At 36.3% G+C, this 18,541-nt stretch overlaps 1 long non-coding RNA gene across 1 annotated transcript in view, besides 1 other annotated feature; it reads right to left on the reverse strand.

The window, feature by feature from the left end:
- Positions 1-2,356: 2,356 nt before the first annotated feature.
- The window catches only part of LOC101927967 (uncharacterized), a 547,036-nt gene continuing 530,851 nt past the window's right edge, over positions 2,357-18,541 (reverse strand). Inside the window, exon 4 of the long non-coding RNA NR_110288.1 lies at positions 2,357-2,483. This is a non-coding gene — a long non-coding RNA (uncharacterized LOC101927967). The remainder of the gene's footprint in view (positions 2,484-18,541) is intronic.
- Positions 12,731-13,267: an enhancer, noted in NCBI's record as "NANOG-H3K27ac hESC enhancer chr2:77981196-77981732 (GRCh37/hg19 assembly coordinates)". NCBI's record gives its function as "activates a minimal SCP1, AML or CMV promoter by ChIP-STARR-seq in naive H9 embryonic stem cells {active_cell/tissue: H9 hESC(naive)}" and the evidence as "EXISTENCE:reporter gene assay evidence [ECO:0000049][PMID:30033119]".

Consider the following 18,541-nt stretch of genomic DNA (forward strand, 5'->3'; position numbering starts at 1 on the left):
GATGTTTCTCAAAGCAATGGTGATATGATATTTGTATCCAGGCTTCCTTCATTTGGAGTTCTGCCATCTACTACAAAGGGCTTCCATGAGTTCAGTGATCATTAGTATCAAGCAAAAGAAAAGGAGTTTAGAGGAAAACATATGGAAGATTTTATGGACAGACTAGAAATAAAGCACATACCTTCTGATCACTTTTTGTTGTCTAAATCTTGGTCATATAACCTTCTCCCCCATAACTCTGTGGTAGGCTGGTAAATGTTGTTTAGCTCCCTGTGAGAAAGAAGAAACAGTCTTGATGAGTACCTTGCCTGTTTCAGCCAGAAGGTACAAGATAAATTATGATTCCAGGACAATATTTTTAACAGCATGTATTAGTGTTTTTATCTGAGAGTTACAAATTTACGTTTTTGCTGTGTAGCACCCACTACAGATTATAATTTATTTGAAAACCTAAAAATTCAAATTATTCATGCGTTAAGGTTTCCATTTCTTTGCTGTGCTTTATTCTGCTTCTGCTCTGTTACAGACATCCACTTCTTTAAAAGCAACTTTAGGCCAGGTGCAGTGGGTCACACCTATAATCCCAGCACTTTCAGGGACTGAGGGAGGAGGATCACTGGAGACCAGGAGTTTGAGACCAGCCTAAGCAATATAACAAGACCCCATCTCTATCAAAACAAAAAATGTTTAAAAATTAGCCAGGTTTGGTGGCCTGTGCCTGTAGTCCCAGCTCCTTGGGAGGCTGAAGCTGGAGAATCACTTCAGCCCAGCAGTTTGGGGCTGCAGTAAGCTATGACTGTGCCACAGCAGTCTGGCCTGGGCAAGAGAGCAAGACCCTATCTTTAAAAAAGCAACTTTATTTTACCTGTTTCCTTTTAATTTCTTTCACTTTCACCAAAAGTATTTTAACTTATTACTTTTTTATCTTTCAACTTTTTTCTGTTGTCCAGTCCTGTTATGTAAATGGTATAAAAAAGGTTTCATATTTTCCCGATAATATGTCTTATTCAAATAATTAACTCAATCATATAGGTATTTAAATATGTATGATTTTATGAATGATCTGTTAACAAAGGCAAGTTATAAATGAAGCCAACAATTGAAGGGAACAATTGGTAAACTAATGTTTGTCTTATCTCCAAATTCCTAAATATTATTTTTAAAAGTACTTTGTTAAAGTAGTATAAGCCCATAATTAAAAAAGATAAAATAAAGCCTAAAAATACTTACAATGAAAAACAACTTGCCAATGCCTCTATATCTACTTCAACCCCAATTCTCAAAATTAACCCCTTTAAATTGTTTGTTTCTTCTTGCAGTTATTTCTTTTTATTTTTTCTAAATAGGGTTTCTACTTTTATTTTATTCCAAATGCTCTAATAGATCGGCCATATGTGTGTCAAAAATGTTGCCAAAGGTACACCCACCAAACATATAGCTATTTAATGTTCTTCACACTTCTCCCATTCATACATGGAGATCTTCTTACAGAACTCATTCCTCAAGGATCACAGTAAACTTGTCGGTGCCTTGAGCTGGTGACCTTTTGTGTACCTGGGAATTTCTTTTGCCTTTCTCTTGTTTATAAGGTATAAACCTACCCATTTGCTCTGCAAAAGCTGGACCCAGGAAGAGGTAAATGTGCCACAGTTGATGCATCGGTTTTTAATCAATCCTTCAGTTTTCAACAGGTAACTTACTTCAGACTTCTGGAGTGGCCTGTGCTTCTGCATCTGAAGTATCTCACATTCAAATTACTCACAGACTATACCGTGTTCTCTACCATGTAGAAAATGGGTATTGCTGGTTGACTCCCAATGATATATAGTATCTGGAGATTCTAACTGCACTGTACTCAGATTTTTGACGAGTCTTTCTTTCCAATCCCAGCCTTTTGCCATACTCAATTTCTTCCCGTAAAACTATAGAAGGCTCTCTGACACAATTGGCTTTTAGCTCATTGGCATTCCACACTGCAGTCACTCAGATAATAACTTAGCTTCCTAAATCAGTTTACCACTCTTCTACTTCCCTTTTAGTCTTCAAATTTTGTTGAAATATCAGATCCACTGTGGCCTTTCCTCCAGTTCTCTTTGTCCTTGGGAATATAAACTCTTTTATTATTAAATTGAGAAGATGTAAATATATGAGGTCAACCTCCAATAATTAATTTCTAATTAAGTTTTTAGGGCTATAGCAGAGTATCATATATGCCTGAGCTGTTGATCTTCAGCCTTATTTACTCCTGAAATCTCTGTTTTAATGCTCTAGAGAGCTAAGCTAATCAGGAACAAATAGAAAATGATTTCTACTCTTACGCCTAGACTGAAGCTAGACTTACGCCGTAGTCCATGCTTTCTTCCCCTGGAAAACATGTTCTCTTTCACTTAGTCTTGTTATGGGAGGACTGTATTCCAATAAAGTAAGCAAATGCAGCTCATTTTTATCAGTTCAGGAACCACAAAGAAGGGAGGAGAAAGATTCTAAAGAGAAGGATGAAGAAAACAGGTGATCAGAAGGAAAAATTTTCATACTTAGCTCAGTTTTAACCCTAAAATATGACAATACACTTTCCCCAATATTTGTCTATCTTTATATTAAATGTATAATGTTAAACACCCTGCTTGTATATAGAATTGTAAATTTCACTTAAGCCTCATAGTATAAGGATATTTCTATTAAATCACAAATAGCAATGAAATTATTTAGCTCTTATAATAAATTAATTACAAAAATGTATACTAACATCAAAAATGCTTAAGATTTTTTATTGGTGACAGACAGTAAACTGCTGAAGAGTATTTATAGAATGACCTCATTCCTAAAAAGTAAATGATATATTCAATAGAAGACAGCGTACCAATAGAAAACTAACTATAAATTAATATGTTTAACTGTTTATAAATTATTCCTTTGAAGAATGGGAATACAGTAGATTTTCTGAGTTTTATGCTTCTATGATGTTTTCATCTTCTTACAGTATATGCATATAACTAGTTTAATGATAAAAATGTCATATTAATATAATATATGTCATTTGTCTAACCTAATGCCAGGGTTCAAAGAGATTATGAAGAAGAATAAGGTGCTGACCCCAGTGTCATGTAACTTGTATTATCAAGAAAAGATATGCGGTCACAAACTGCACAATTACAGAAAAAAGTATATGGATAATTGTCAAAATTAGTGGCTTTATTTTAGTTCAATGAGACAAAGTTCAGAGTAGCATAGAAGAGGAAAATGATTTACCTCAAGATTCATATTAACAGTGAAATTCTCTTTGGATAAGCCAACTAGAATTGTAGAGTATATTAGAGACAGAGGTTATTTGGGCTACATGGACTCAAACACTTAGAGAGAAGTTGATATTAGCAAATTATTTTAAACCCTCTTATTCTTAATCTAAAAATATTCAGATTTATGAATGAGGTAGTGTAGGCATCATGCCCAATTGTGATTTACACAGAAAAAAAGACATGTAAGTAGAGGAGAACTAGCACTTGCCCAAGAAAATATGGAGGGCATCTGAGGACATTTTTCCCACCCTCTTTCACTTGTCCCCACTACCACCATCCTGCTTGGGATAGAGTTTAGCCCCTGTAAGTATTTATTTTATTTAAGATACTGGTAAAGGATCTGTAAAATGAAACCAAAATTTACTGTGTATTATATGAGTTATATTTTAATTTTTTAAAAAGTCAATTTTTCAGGTTTATGATCTAAGGGCAATTATGATTTGGGGAGCTTAGTTTTTTTCAATTTATGGCTATGCAATATCTCAGCATGAGTCTTCTAACTTTTGATCCAATGTTTATGCTCTAGCTTCCAATGTCATAATTTTTGTTCAGTTAACAGGTAAGAGAGACAAGGGTAGAGAGTATACCAAACCATAATGAAGCGAAACCAACAACCAAGTCGAGTAGTAGAACTCAACCTTGACAGCTCATTGAAGGGCATCTCACCGGGACAATTCCATGCTCTACAAGCCCTTTTGGAAACCGATAAAGCGTAATTTCAAAAACACCACAGTTGATTCCAATGTGCAGCCAATGTTGAGTACTGCTGAACTTAGGTGAATGCAGGTCACCAAGAAAAAGATGAAGGTGAATGTAAAGAACAGGAGTTCCCATTGAAGTAGAACTTGGCAATCTACATGGGAAATTTAAATAGAAAGAATCATAAAGAGGTTTTTAAGAAGATTAAATTAACAGATAAAATATTTTCAAGAACCTGAATCAAGAATTTTGATTATATCTATATAATATATAACATATGATATATTTATATATGATATATCATATATAAATATTATATATTTATATTATATACTAATATATATAATATAAATATTAATATATATATTTATTTTTTATTATATATTTATATTATATATTTATATAATATATTTATATATATATATTTATATATATAATATATTATATTATATAGTATATATATATTATATATATTTTATATATACTATATAATATATATAATATATATGTCAAAAAACATGTATTTTTTTATTTGGTAAAGATTAGGTTTTTTCCATGTTGCCCAGGGTGGTGTTGAACTCTTGGACTTGAGAGATCTGTTCACCTTGTGCTCTCAAAGTGCTGGGATTACAGGCATGAGCCATTAAGCCTGGTCTATTGAATTTAAAAATTTAATACACAAAGTAGAAGTTTGTTGGTAACTACTAAGAACCAATTAGTCTTCTGGAATTTCTTGTGGAAGAAATACTTTAATATTCATAACAAAACTGAAAAGATGTGAAAAAATGAGCAAAAGATAGCAACTTGATGTAAATTTACATGAACTGTAACATGGAGCACATAGGCTTTCCATAAAACAGAAAATTAGAGAGACAGATTGACTCAATTAGTAGAGAAAAATATTCATTATATAAATAAGTAATTGAGTCTTCAGACTGGAGGGCTTCTGTAAGGCCTGGGAAAGACTAAAAGAAAAATGAAATTCAATATCAATATTGAATAACAAAATTAAAATTCAATATTAATATTAATAATTGTCAATAGTGAAATTCTTGAATTCCGAGATTAAAGAAAATGATCTTATTAGTAGAGGATAAATATCTTAATAGAGAAAGAAAATTTAACAATAGACTTATCCTTTAGAAGAAGACTAAAAGTGAAGAGCAACATATAAACTATTCAAAGTAAGGTACAGAGACCCAAAAATCTTCTTTCCAGTTACAATAGTTTCACCTGTCAGGGAAAAAGAAAGAATTTGTAGTTATGGAAGAATTTAAAGAGGTAGCATCCATACAATTAACATAAGGAAAGTTCTTGAAAAAAATGTTCTAACCAACAAATAAAAAATCCTTTTTTTTAAATAAAAAAAGCAGGCAATATGATGAGGGTAACAAGAATTAATATTAGAAAATTATTATAAAACATGTGTATTATTAAATGTAATGCTGTAAAGAAATGTCAAATATATGTATAGAACTGAAAGTTGAAAAATATATCATCTAAAACCAGAAGTTGAAAAAAATCAAGAGAAGGATGGGAAATATGAATACTCGAATACTCTAAAGCAGAGTTGGCAAATGTTTTTCTGTAAACGGCAGGATGGCAAATATTTTGGCTTTGTGGACATGTGGCTTTTGTTACAACTGCTTATCTCTGATGTAGTGATACAAACCTAACAAAGGCAGGCATAGACTATATATAAGCACATGGTGATGACTGTACTACAATAAATATTTACAAACTCAGGCAGTGGGACAGATTTCATGTATAGGAAGTAATTTGATGACCTCTATTTTAAAGGATATACTTATTTGGGGGGAAGCAGATAGGCAACAATATAAATGCATAAATGAACAGAAAGAAAAAATATGAAAGACAACTTGCAGAATGACAGCATGAGGCTCTCTGTGGATATGCTCCCTAGTGAAGCAATCATAACTGGAAAAATTAGTATACATATATAAATTTTGTTATAGGTTTATATCTATATACAATATACACATATAAAAGTCTTTGGAAATTTTGTCCTAATTTAGACAGGAGATAGGAGATAGAGACAGGAGACCTGGCCTCTTCAATTTCTAATTGTAAAGACAGGCGATCTAATGATAGAGTTTGAGAGACCTGGCCTCTTCAATTCCTGTGTGGTGACCTGGGATTCAATCTGTGAGGTGGAGGGCCTACTAGGAGGACTCCATCTCACTTTGCTGCGTTTTTTTTTTTTTCCCTTTTCGTCCAAAAATTATGCTCCTCAACCTTCTATGTGTCCGTGAGTCTAGTCTTTCCCAGTCATGTGACAAGAACCCAGTTTTAGCTGAACTAAGGAGAAAGTCCTGCAACACTAAGGGCATATATCAAATGAAGAAACATTTGTTCAAGGAAATCTACTAAATCTTAGAAAGAGGAGTGAGAGTCTGTGGCACTTGAGCCATACCCATTTTTGCCTCCTACTCTCAGGTCAGTGTGATCAAAGCCCCACTCTGAATGGGTATGGCTAAGAATATTACGCTCCCTTCACCCCCCAGTTCCCAGGCAAAGGCTGTGGAATCTCCCAGGAAAGGGCAAGACACTGGCATTTCTTATCCCCTCAAGCTCCACGTTCCAAATGAGTGTAGTCTGGAGATTGTGAGCTCCCTCCCTCTACCTAAGAATAGCGGGGCATTCGTCTCCCTCACCCCAACTCCCCCATAGGGATGTTGCTCCGCACCAGGAGAAGCAAGCCAAAAAGACCAGCACTACTGCCCTTGCCTAGCACTTGGCTAGTAAAGCATCAGTGTCATCCTAGGAAAAGCAAAATTCTGTCACTGATGTTTGTTTGATGATTAAGGATTCTCAAAAGTTTAAACTATAAGCATTCTTCATGATTTAAAATTAAATTGGAAACAAAATTAAAGAAATTTCAGTGTATGTATTCCATATCTTCCTGACATAAAAAAGAATAGCTAAGGAAATCCTCCAAAAGCTTGGGAAAAAAAAAACAAAACAAAAACAAAGGCACAACACAGAGGATTAAGAAAACTAGAGTCAGTTCCAAGAGATCCAAAAATTAATAAAATAAATAATAAGAATGATCACAAAAAAGAAAGTAAACAAATAATTCAAGAAAGGAATTAGAATATCCACCTAGTTGTAGCAGATACTAAAGAACTAAAAATGCATATTATGAAAATACTTGTGCCAATAAAATTGAAAATGTAAATGGAATAGCAATATGCTAGAAAAACATAACTTATCAATACTGAAAAATTAACAAACTAGGCCTAAAAAACATGACTGAACCTCACAAACATAATTCTGAGCAAAAGAAACCAGAAACAAAAATAATGCACACTGTTTAATTTCAAGTTTGCGTGTTTCAAAAATTCAGCGAAGATAAACTGTGTGTAAAACTCTAAAGGAAAACAAACACGTTTATGTTTGCTTGTTTTACCATAATGATCAGGCTAATAATTCCCTTTTAAAAGGTAGGCAGGAATGTCATTTCAAGTGACAATGATGAAGGTTTCTCTGGTTCTAACAGATTCTTTTGTGGATTTAGTTTTCAAGGATGTTATTGTGTTAAAATCTGTACAATTTTTTCCCCAATTTTCACAATTATATTCAATTTAACATTTATCGTGGTACTATTCACAATAGCAAAGACTTGGAACCAACCCAAATATCCATCAAAAATAGACTGGATAAAGAAAATGTGGCACATATACACCATGAAATACTATGCAGACATAAAACAGGATGAGGTCATATCCTTTGTAGGGACATGGATGAAACTGAAACCATCATTCTCAGCAAAATACCACAAGGACAGAAAACCAAACACCCCATGTTCTCACTCATAAGTGGGAGTTGAATGATGAGAACACATAGACACGGATTGGAGGGACATCACACACCGGGGCCTGTTGGGGGGCAGGGGGATGGGGGAGGGATAGCGTTAGGAGAAATACCTAATGTAAACGATGAGTTAATGGGTGCAGCATACCAACATGGCACATGCATACCTACATAACAAATCTGCATGTTGTGCACATGTACCCTAGAACTTAAAGTGTAATAATAATAATAATAATAAAATTACAGTGGTTATCTTTATGTGGCAGGATTATAGATGAGCCTTATATTCTTAATTTTCTGCATTATTCATATTTTCGGTGAAGAACATGTATTATTTTCATAATCAGTAAAATAATAAAGGTTATTAAAAAACAGTAAAAAAAGGTATTAATGCGTATGATACACCCTCACTATGGAGTACAATGAGGTTAGAAGGAACAAATTTGAAAAGTCACAGCAGATCTGATTCAAATAAGAGTCCAAAATTCCTGGCCGGGCGCGGTGGCTCACGCCTGTAATCCCAGCACTTTGGGAGGCCGAGGCGGGCGGATCACGAGGTCAGGAGATCGAGACCATCCCGGCTAAAACGGTGAAACCCCGTCTCTACTAAAAATACAAAAAATTAGCCGGGCGTAGTGGCGGGCGCCTGTAGTCCCAGCTACTTGGGAGGCTGAGGCAGGAGAATGGCGTGAACCCGGGAGGCGGAGCTTGCAGTGAGCCGAGGTCCCGCCACTGCACTCCAGCCTGGGCGACAGAGCGAGACTCCGTCTCAAAAAAAAAAAAAAAAAAAAAAAAAAAAGAGTCCAAAATTCCTTCCTTCTTTTTATTTAACAAGAGTGAACAACAGAAGTATCTTTTTCAAATATCATTTGCCCATATATGTGTGAGTCTGTTTCTGGAATGTTCATTCTGTTCTACTGATCTATTTTACAGAACTCGACATGCTACCACACTGCCTTGTTTACCGTGACTTTATAATAACTATTGACATCACACAGTGTGAGCTCTCCAACTTTGTTCTATGTTTTCAAAGTTGTTTTTGTTATTCTAGGTCCACTGTATTTCTATATGGATTTTAGAATTCATCAATTAAAAAAATGTATCTGCTAAAATTTTTATTTGGATTACATTGAACTTACAGAAAACTTTGGAGAAGGAACAACTTAATATTGGATCTTCTTACCCATGAACATAATACCTTCCTCTATTTAGTTAGACATTATTTAATCTCATCAAATGTTTTATAGTTGTCACTGTACAGGTCTTCCATATCTTTTGTCAGATTTATCTCTATTTCACATTTTAATGCTATTTTAAATAGTATTTTTAATGTCAATTTTTTTTTTTTTTTTTTTTTTTTTGAGACGGAGTCTGGCTCCAACGCCCAGGCTGGAGTGCAGTGGCACAATCTCGTTTCACTGCAAGCTCCACCTCCCGGGTTCACGCCATTCTCCTGCCTCAGCCTCCCGAGCAGCTGGGACTACAGGCGCATTGCTCTTCAAAAAACCAACTTGTGCTATATAATAGTTTGTCTCTATTTTTTTATTGTTGTTTATTTTGTATATCCCTGATTTTCTCTCTGACCTTTTTTTCCTTTTCCTGTTTACTTTGGTTACATTTGTTCTTTTTTAAATTTCTTAAGGTAGATGCTGATTTGAAACCTTTGTTCTTTTCTAATAGTGGTTTTCAGTGGCATGAATTCCACATTACTACTGTTCTGTTGGCAATTCACAAATTTCGGTATGTTGTGGCTTTTTTTCTTTCAGTTCACAAGAATTTCTAATTTCCACTTTTATTTCATCTTTCATTTATGGGTGTGTTAGTTTCCAAATAGTTGCAGATTTTCCTGCAATCTTTCTGTTTTTGATTTCCAATTTTATTCCTTTGTTGCCAGGGAACATTATTCATATAATGTGATTTATTCTAAATATACTTAGAAATTATCAACAGTCCAGAATATGATCTTCTCTGTAAATGTTCCATGTGATCTTCAAAAGAATATATACTACCCTTTTTGTTGAGTGTGGTATCCTATAAATGGCAATTAGGTCACATTTGTTGAGTGTTGTTCAGATCATTTATTTTCTTACTGTTTTTTATTTACTTTTTACATCATTTATCAAGAGGAAAGTATTCAAACTTCCAACTATAAATGTGGATTTATCTATTTATCTTTGAGTTCTGTAAGCTCTTGTATTTTGAATCTCACTTATTTGGTACATAAATATTTAGGATTGGTATGTCCTCTTGAATTGAACCTTTAGTATTATGAAATAAACTTTTTTGTCTTCAGTAATATTCTTTGCTATGAAATTTACTTTGATATTAATATAGTCATTACAGAGTTTTTAAAATTTGTGTTAGCGTTGTTTCTGTATACTTAATGTGTGTTTTAGGCAGCATAAAGTGGGATTTTGCTTTTTTTAACAAATGCAATCTCATATTCTGTTTTTATTTAAGGTAGTCAGATTACTTACATTTAATGTGATGATTGATATCCTTAGGTTTAAGTTAATCATCTTCCTATTTGTTCTGCAGTTTCCCCATCTTACTTTGTTCACCTATCCTCTTCATCTGCCTTATTTCAAATAAATTTCTTTCTGGGATTCCATTTCATCTCCCGTGTTAGCTGTAATTCTTTTTTTGTTATTTCAGTGCATGTTTTGTGGTTTATACTAAACACCTGTCACTTTTTAGATTCTACCTTCAAGTGATATTACATCACTTCACATACAGTGTAAGAACCTCACAATAATATACTCTCATTTTGTTCTCCTGTTCTTTGTGCCATTGTAGTCGTATATTTTATTTTTATGGATATAAACTCCCTATTGCATTGTCATTAATTTTGTTTAAAGGATCACTTAACTTTAAGATATTTAAATCGTAAGAAAAAAATCTTGTATATTTACTTAGGTAGCCACCACTTCCAGCACTCTTTATTTCTTTGTGTAAATCAATATTTTTATCTAGTGTCATTTTCCTTCTGTTTAAAGGACTTCCTTTAACATTTCATGTAGTACAGTTCTCTGGTTGATAAATACTTGTATTCCTGGAGATGGTATTGTATTCCTATTTTGGGGATTTTTTTCTGATATGCAGTACAGTTACTTGAAAACAGTTTCATCCTTCTGGGTTTTACTTTTAAAATCTGTCAGGACCTGAGCAAGTATTCAATTTGAGTCTGATTATTCCCCTCATTTCCCACTACTAAGGTACAACCAGTCTGCACTCTACACAATTTCCTGTGAATCATGAAGTTTCTCACTTTATGGTGGGGAGAGGCACTATTCTTGGACCTGTGTGAGTACGGGGCACTGTTACCTCTCATCTTTTCAGGTAGGTTCTTTCTCCATCCTTGGCTAATTTTCTCACATAATTGCACTCATCAGTAGTCAGCTAAATACTCAAAGGGGAACCTCTGCAGATCTCTGGAATCCTCTCTCTGTACAGCACTATTTTATCCAGTCCTCCATCCCGTGAATTTTTGCCACCTAAGTCTCTTGGACTCTCAGATCTATCTCTTCAGTTTCAGGGGTCCACCAGTATCCTCCTGGGCACCTCAATCCTCAGCCTAGAAACGTTCTCAAGCTGCGTTTATCATAGGCTCACCTTATTTGTTTGCCATCTCTCAGAAATCACTGTTCCTTGTGGCCTGATTTCCAGTGTCTTATAGGCCACTGCTTTATCATTTCATCTGTTTTCCATCATTTCAGAATAAATTTACCCATATTATTCCATCTTGACAGAAAGTAGAATTCCTGAGGGTTGTAATTGCCCAAAGTATGTAGTTTAAATAACAGTCGAATGAATTGAAAGGCATAATCATACAGTTAAATCTAAGGTATATTTATATTAAAAACTTCTTTATAAAAGTAGATAAATATGAGCCTATAATTTAAAAATAGCTTTATGATTTGAATGATGATTTTCAAAACATCTAAAACAAAGTAGATTCTGCATCCTGATGTTTTTATCATTTTAAGTGAAATATTTATATGATAGAAGTCAGCCTATGACTCAAAAGCACTAGCAAACCAATTCCATATTTGTTAAATCTATGAAGATTAAATTTGTAGATTATTGGATTTTCTCTAACACGATTCAAAAAATTGACATTGTGTTAATTTGTGAATGTTTCACAGGGTTGGAGAATTTTAGAATTTGTTTTTTTAGCTTCAAATCAAAACCAAAAATTTTACATTGAGGAAGCCATTCTAGAAAGTAAGAATAACCTGACACTCTGTGCATGTGTGATTTTTCCATTTTTAAGTATTTAATAATTTCTTATATTTTATATGCCTTTACAATATAAATGATTTCTTCAAATAAAATTTAAAGACCACATGAAATTTTTTTTTTCAAAAGTCTCTCAAAAGGTCACTACAGGAGCCTACTACATAGAACCTAAAATTTTTAACTATGAATATGTGAGATTGAAGGGAAAGTAAATAAGTTTAAACGTCTTTCAGTGAATGCTCTAACCATGAAATTATGACTGAAGCGATCATTTAATATTAAAAATATTTTAACAAGGAGCTTTATCACAAAAGTCAAACTCACTCACCAATAAACATAATTTTGAAGTAAAAAAAAGACATCTGGAATAGGAACAGCTCCCGTCTACAGCTCCCAGCGTGAGCGACGCAGAAGACCGTGATTTCTGCATTTCCATCTGAGGTACCAGGTTCATCTCACTAGGGAGTGCCAGACAGTGGGCGCAGGTCAGTGAGTGCGCGCACCGTGCGCGAGCCGAAGCAGGGCAAGGCATTGCCTCACTTGGGAAGCGCAAGGGGTCAGGGAGTTCCCTTTCCGAGTCAAAGAAAGGGGTGACAGACAGCACCTGTAAAATCGGGTCACTCCCACCCGAATACTGCGCTTTTCCGACGGGCTTAAAAAATGGCGCACCATGGGATTATATCCTGCACCTGGCTTGGAGGGTCCTACGCCCACGGAGTCTCGCTGATTGCTAGCACAGCAGTCTGAGATCAAACTGCAAGGCGGCAGCGAGGCTGGGGGAGGGGCGCCCGACATTGTACGGGCTTGATTAGGTAAACAAAGCAGCTGGGAAGCTCGAACTGGGCGGAGCCCACCACAGCTCAAGGAGGCCTGCCTGCCTCTGTAGGCTCCACCTCTGGGGGCAGGGCACAGACAAACAAAAAGACAGCAGTAACCTCTGCAGACTTAAATGTCCCTGTCTGACAGCTTTGAAGACAGCAGTGGTTCTCCCAGCACGCAGCTGGAGATCTGAGAACGGGCAGACTGCCTCCTCAAGTGGGTCCCTGACCCCTGAGCAGCCTAACTGGGAGACACCCCCCAATAGGGGCACACTGACACCTCACACGGCAGGGTACTCCAACAGACCTGCAGCTGAGGGTCCTGTCTGTTAGAAGGAAAACTAACAAACAGAAAGGACATCCACACCAAAAACACATCTGTACATCACCATCATCAAAGACCAAAGTAGATAAAACCACAAAGATGGGGAAAAAACAGAAAAGAAAAACTGGAAACTCTAAAAAGCAGAGCAGCTCTCCTCCTCCAAAGGAACGCAGTTCCTCACCAGCAACGGAACAAAGCTGGATGGAGAATGACTTTGACAAGCTGAGAGAAGAAGGCTTCAGATGATCAAATTACTCTGAGCTACAGGAGGACATTCAAACCAAAGGCGAAGAAGTTGAAAACTTTGAAAAAAATTTAGAAGAATGTATAACTAGAATAACCAATACAGAGAAGTGCTTAAAGGAGCTAATGGAGCTGAAAACCAAGGCTCGAGAACTACGTGAAGAATGCAGAAGCCTCAGGGGCCGATGTGATCAACTGGAAGAAAGGGTATCAGCAATGGAAGATGAAATGAATGAAATGAAGCGAGAAGGGAAGTTTAGAGGAAAAGCAAATAAAAAGAAATGAGCAAAGCCTCCAAGAAATATGGGACTATGTGAAAAGACCAAATCTACGTCTGATTGGTGTACCTGAAAGTGATGGGGAGAATGGAACCAAGTTGGAAAACACTCTGCAGGATATTATCCAGGAGAACTTCCCCAATCTAGCAAGGCAGGCCAACATTCAGATTCAGGAAATACAGAGAACACCACAAAGATACTCCTCGAGAAGAGCAACTCCAAGACACATAATTGTCAGATTCACCAAAGTTGAAATGAAGGAAAAAATGTTAAGGGCAGCCAGAGAGAAAGGTCAGGTTACCCTCAAAGGGAAGCCCATCAGACTAACAGCTGATCTCTCGGCAGAAACCCTACAAGCCAGAATAGAGTGGGGGCCAATATTCACCATTCTTAAAGAAAAGAATTTTCAACCCAGAATTTCATATCTAGCCAAACTAAGCTTCATAAGTGAAGGAGAAATAAAATACTTTACAGACAAGCAAATGCCGAGAGATTTTGTCACCACCAGGCCTGCCCTAAAACCTAAAAGAGCTCCTGAAGGAAGCGCTAAACATGGAAAGGAACAACCGGTACCAGCCGCTGCAAAGTCATGCCAAAATGTAAAGACCATCAAGACTAGGAAGAAACTGCATCAACTAATGAGCAAAATAACCAGCTAACATCATAATGACAGGATCAAATTCACACATAACAATATTAACTTTAAATGTAAATGGAGTAAATGCTCCAATTAAAAGACACAGACTGGCAAATTGGATAAAGAGTCAAGACCCATCAGTGTGCTGTATTCAGGAAACCCATCTCACGTGCAGAGACACACATAGGCTCAAAATAAAAGGATGGAGGAAGATCTACCAAGCAAATGGAAAACAAAAAAAGGCAGGGGTTGCAATCCTAGTCTCTGATAAAACAGACTTTAAACCAACAAAGATCAAAAGAGACAAAGAAGGCCATTACATAATGGTAAAGGGATCAATTCAACAAGAAGAGCTAACTATCCTAAATATATATGCACCCAATACAGGAGCACCCAGATTCATAAAGCAAGTCCTGAGTGACCTACAAAGAGACTTAGACTCCCACACATTAATAATGGGAGACTTTAACACCCCACTGTCAACATTAGACAGATCAACGAGACAGAAAGTCGACAAGGATACCCAGGAATTGAACTCAGCTCTGCACCAAGCAGACCTAATAGACATCTACAGAACTCTCCACCCAAAATCAACAGAATATACATTTTTTTCAGCACCACACCACACCTATTCCAACATTGACCACATACTTGGAAGTAAAGCTCTCCTCAGCAAATGTGAAAGAACAGAAATTATAACAAACTATCTCTCAGATCACAGTGCAATCAAACTAGAACTCAGGAGTAAGAATCTCACTCAAAACCGCTCAACTACATGGAAACTGAACAACCTGCTCCTGAATGACTACTGGCTACATAACGAAATGAAGGCACAAATAAAGATGTTCTTTGAAACCAATGAGAACAAACACACAACATACCAGAATCTCTGGGACACATTCAAAGCCGTGTGTGGAGGGAAATTTATAGCACTAAATGCCCACAAGAGAAAGCAGGAAAGATCCAAAATTGACACCCTAACATCACAATTAAAAGAACTAGAAAAGCAAGAGCAAACACATTCAAAAGCTAGCAGAAGGCAAGAAAAACTAAAATCAGAGCAGAACTGAAGGAAATAGAGACACAAAAAACCTTTCAAAAAATCAATGAATCCAGGAGCTGATTTTTTGAAAGGATCAACAAAATTGATAGACCGCTAGCAAGACTAATAAGGAAAAAAAGAGAGAAGAATCAAATAGATGCAATAAAAAATGATAAAGGGGATATCACCACCGATCCCACAGAAATACAAACTACCATCAGAGAATACTACAAACACCTCTATGCAAATAAACTAGAAAATCTAGAAGAAATGGATAAATTCCTCGACACATACACTCTCCCAAGACTAAACCAGGAAGAAGTTGAATCTCTGAATAGACCAATAACAGGAGCTGAAATTGTGGCAATAATCAATAGCTTACCAACCAAAAAGAGTCCAGGACCAGACGGATTCACAGCTGAATTCTACCAGAGGTACAAGGAGGAACTGGTACCATTCCTTCTGAAACTATTCCAATCAATAGAAAAAGAGGGAATCCTCCCTAACTCATTTTATGAGGCCAGCATCATTCTGATACCAAAGCCAGGCAGAGACACAACAAAAAAAGAGAATTTTAGACCAATATCCTTGATGAACATTGATGCAAAAATCCTCAATAAAATACTGGCAAACCGAATCCAGCAGCACATCAAAAAGCTTATCCACGATGATCAAGTGGGCTTCATCCCTGGGATGCAAGGCTGGTTCAATAGACGCAAATCAATAAATGTAATCCAGCATATAAACAGAGCCAAAGACAAAAACCACATGATTATCACAATAGATGCAGAAAAAGCCTTTGACAAAATTCAACAACCCTTCATGCTAAAAACTCTCAATAAATTAGGTATTGATGGGACGGATCTCAAAATAATAAGAGCTATCTATGACAAACCCACAGCCAATATCATACTGAATGGGCAAAAACCGGAAGCATTCCTTTTGAAAACTGGCACAAGACAGGGATGCCCTCTCTCACCACTCCTATTCAACATAGTGTTGGAAGTTCTGGCCAGGGCAATGAGGCAGGAGAAGGAAATAAAGGGTATTCAATTAGGAAAAGAGGAAGTCAAATTGTCCCTGTTTGCAGACGACATGATTGTATATCTAGAAAACCACATTGTCTCAGCCCAAAATCTCCTTAAGCTGATTAGCAACTTCAGCAAACTCAGGATACAAAATCAATGTGCAAAAATCACAAGCATTCTTATACACCAACAACAGACAAGCAGAGAGCCAAATCATGAGTGAACTCCCATTCACAATTGCTACAAAGAGAATAAAATACCTAGGAATCCAACTTACAAGGGATGTGAAGGACCTCTTCAAGGAGAACTACAAACCACTGCTCAAGGAAATAAAAGAGGATACAAACAAATGGAAGAACATTCCATGCTCATGGGTAGGAAGAATCAATATCATGAAAATGGCCATACTGCCCAAGGTAATTTACAGATTCAATGCCATCCCCATCAAGCTACCAATGCCTTTCTTCACAGAACTGGAAAAAACTACTTTAAAGTTCATATGGAACCAAAAAAGAGCCCGCATTGCCAAGTCAATCCTAAGCCAAAAGAACAAACCTGGAGGCATCACACTACCTGACGTCGAACTATACTACAAGGCTACAGTAACCAAAACAGCATGGTACTGGTACCAAAACAGAGATATAGATCAATGGAACAGAACAGAGCCCTCAGAAATAATGCCGCATATCTACAACTATCTGATCTTTGACAAACCTGACAAAAACAAGCAATGGGGAAAGGATTCCCTATTTAATAAATGGTGCTGGGAAAACTGGCTAGCCATATGTAGAAAGCTGAAACTGGATCCCTTCCTTACACCTTATACAAAAATCAATTCAAGATGGATTAAAGACTTAAATGTTAGACCTAAAACCATAAAAACCCTAGAAGAAAACCTAGGCATTACCATTCAGGACATAGGCATGGGCAAGGACTTCATGTCTAAAACACCAAAAGCAATGGCAACAAAAGACAAAATTGACAAATGGGATCTAATTCAACTAAAGAGCTTCTGCACAGCAAAAGAAACTACCGTCAGAGTGAACAGGCAACCTGCAAATGGGAGAAAATTTTCGCAACCTACTTATGTGACAAAGGGCTAATATCCAGAATCTACAATGAACTCAAACAAATTTACAAGAAAAAAACAAACAACCCCATCAAAAAGTGGGCAAAGGACATGCACAGACACTTCTCAAAAGAAGATATTTATACAGCCAAAAGACACATGAAAAAACGCTCATCATCACTGGCCATCAGAGAAATGCAAATCAAAACCACAATGAGATACCATCTCACACCAGTTAGAATGGCAATCATTAAAAAGTCAGGAAACAACAGGTGCTGGAGAGGATGTGGAGAAATAGGAACACTTCTACACTGTTGGTGGGACTGTAAACTAGTTCAACCCTTGTGGAAGTCAGTGTGGCGATTCCTCAGGGATCTAGAACTGCAAATACCATTTGACCCAGCCATCCCATTACTGTGTATATACCCAAAGGACTATAAATCATGCTGCTATAAAGACACATGCACACATATGTTTATTGTGGTATTATTCACAATAGCAAAGACTTGGAACCAACCCAAATGTCCAACAACAATAGACTGGATTAAGAAAATGTGGCACATATACACCATGGAATACTATGCAGCCATAAAAAATGATGAGTTCATGTCCTCTGTAGGGACATGGATGAAACTGGAAAACATCATTCTCAGTAAACTATCACAAGAACAAAAAACCAAACACCGCATATTCTCACTCATAGGTGGAACTGAACAATGAGATCACATGGACACAGGAAGGGGAATATCACACTCTGGGGACTGTGGCGGGGTGGGGGGAGGGGGGAGGGATAGCATTGGGAGATATACCTAATGCTAGATGACGAGTTAGTGGGTTCAGTGCACCAGCATGTCACATGTATACATATGTAACTAACCTGCACAATGTGCACATGTACCCTAAAACTTAAAGTATAATAAAAAAAAAGAAAAAAAAAAGACATCTAAAAATTTACCAAATTATATGACTTAAATGGACAATGTGAACAGCAAAAGCATATCATCAAAAGCAAAATACATTATTTTAGATTCTA

Source organism: Homo sapiens, chromosome 2 (assembly GCF_000001405.40).
Source record: "Homo sapiens chromosome 2, GRCh38.p14 Primary Assembly".
NCBI classification, from domain to species: Eukaryota; Metazoa; Chordata; class Mammalia; order Primates; family Hominidae; genus Homo; species Homo sapiens.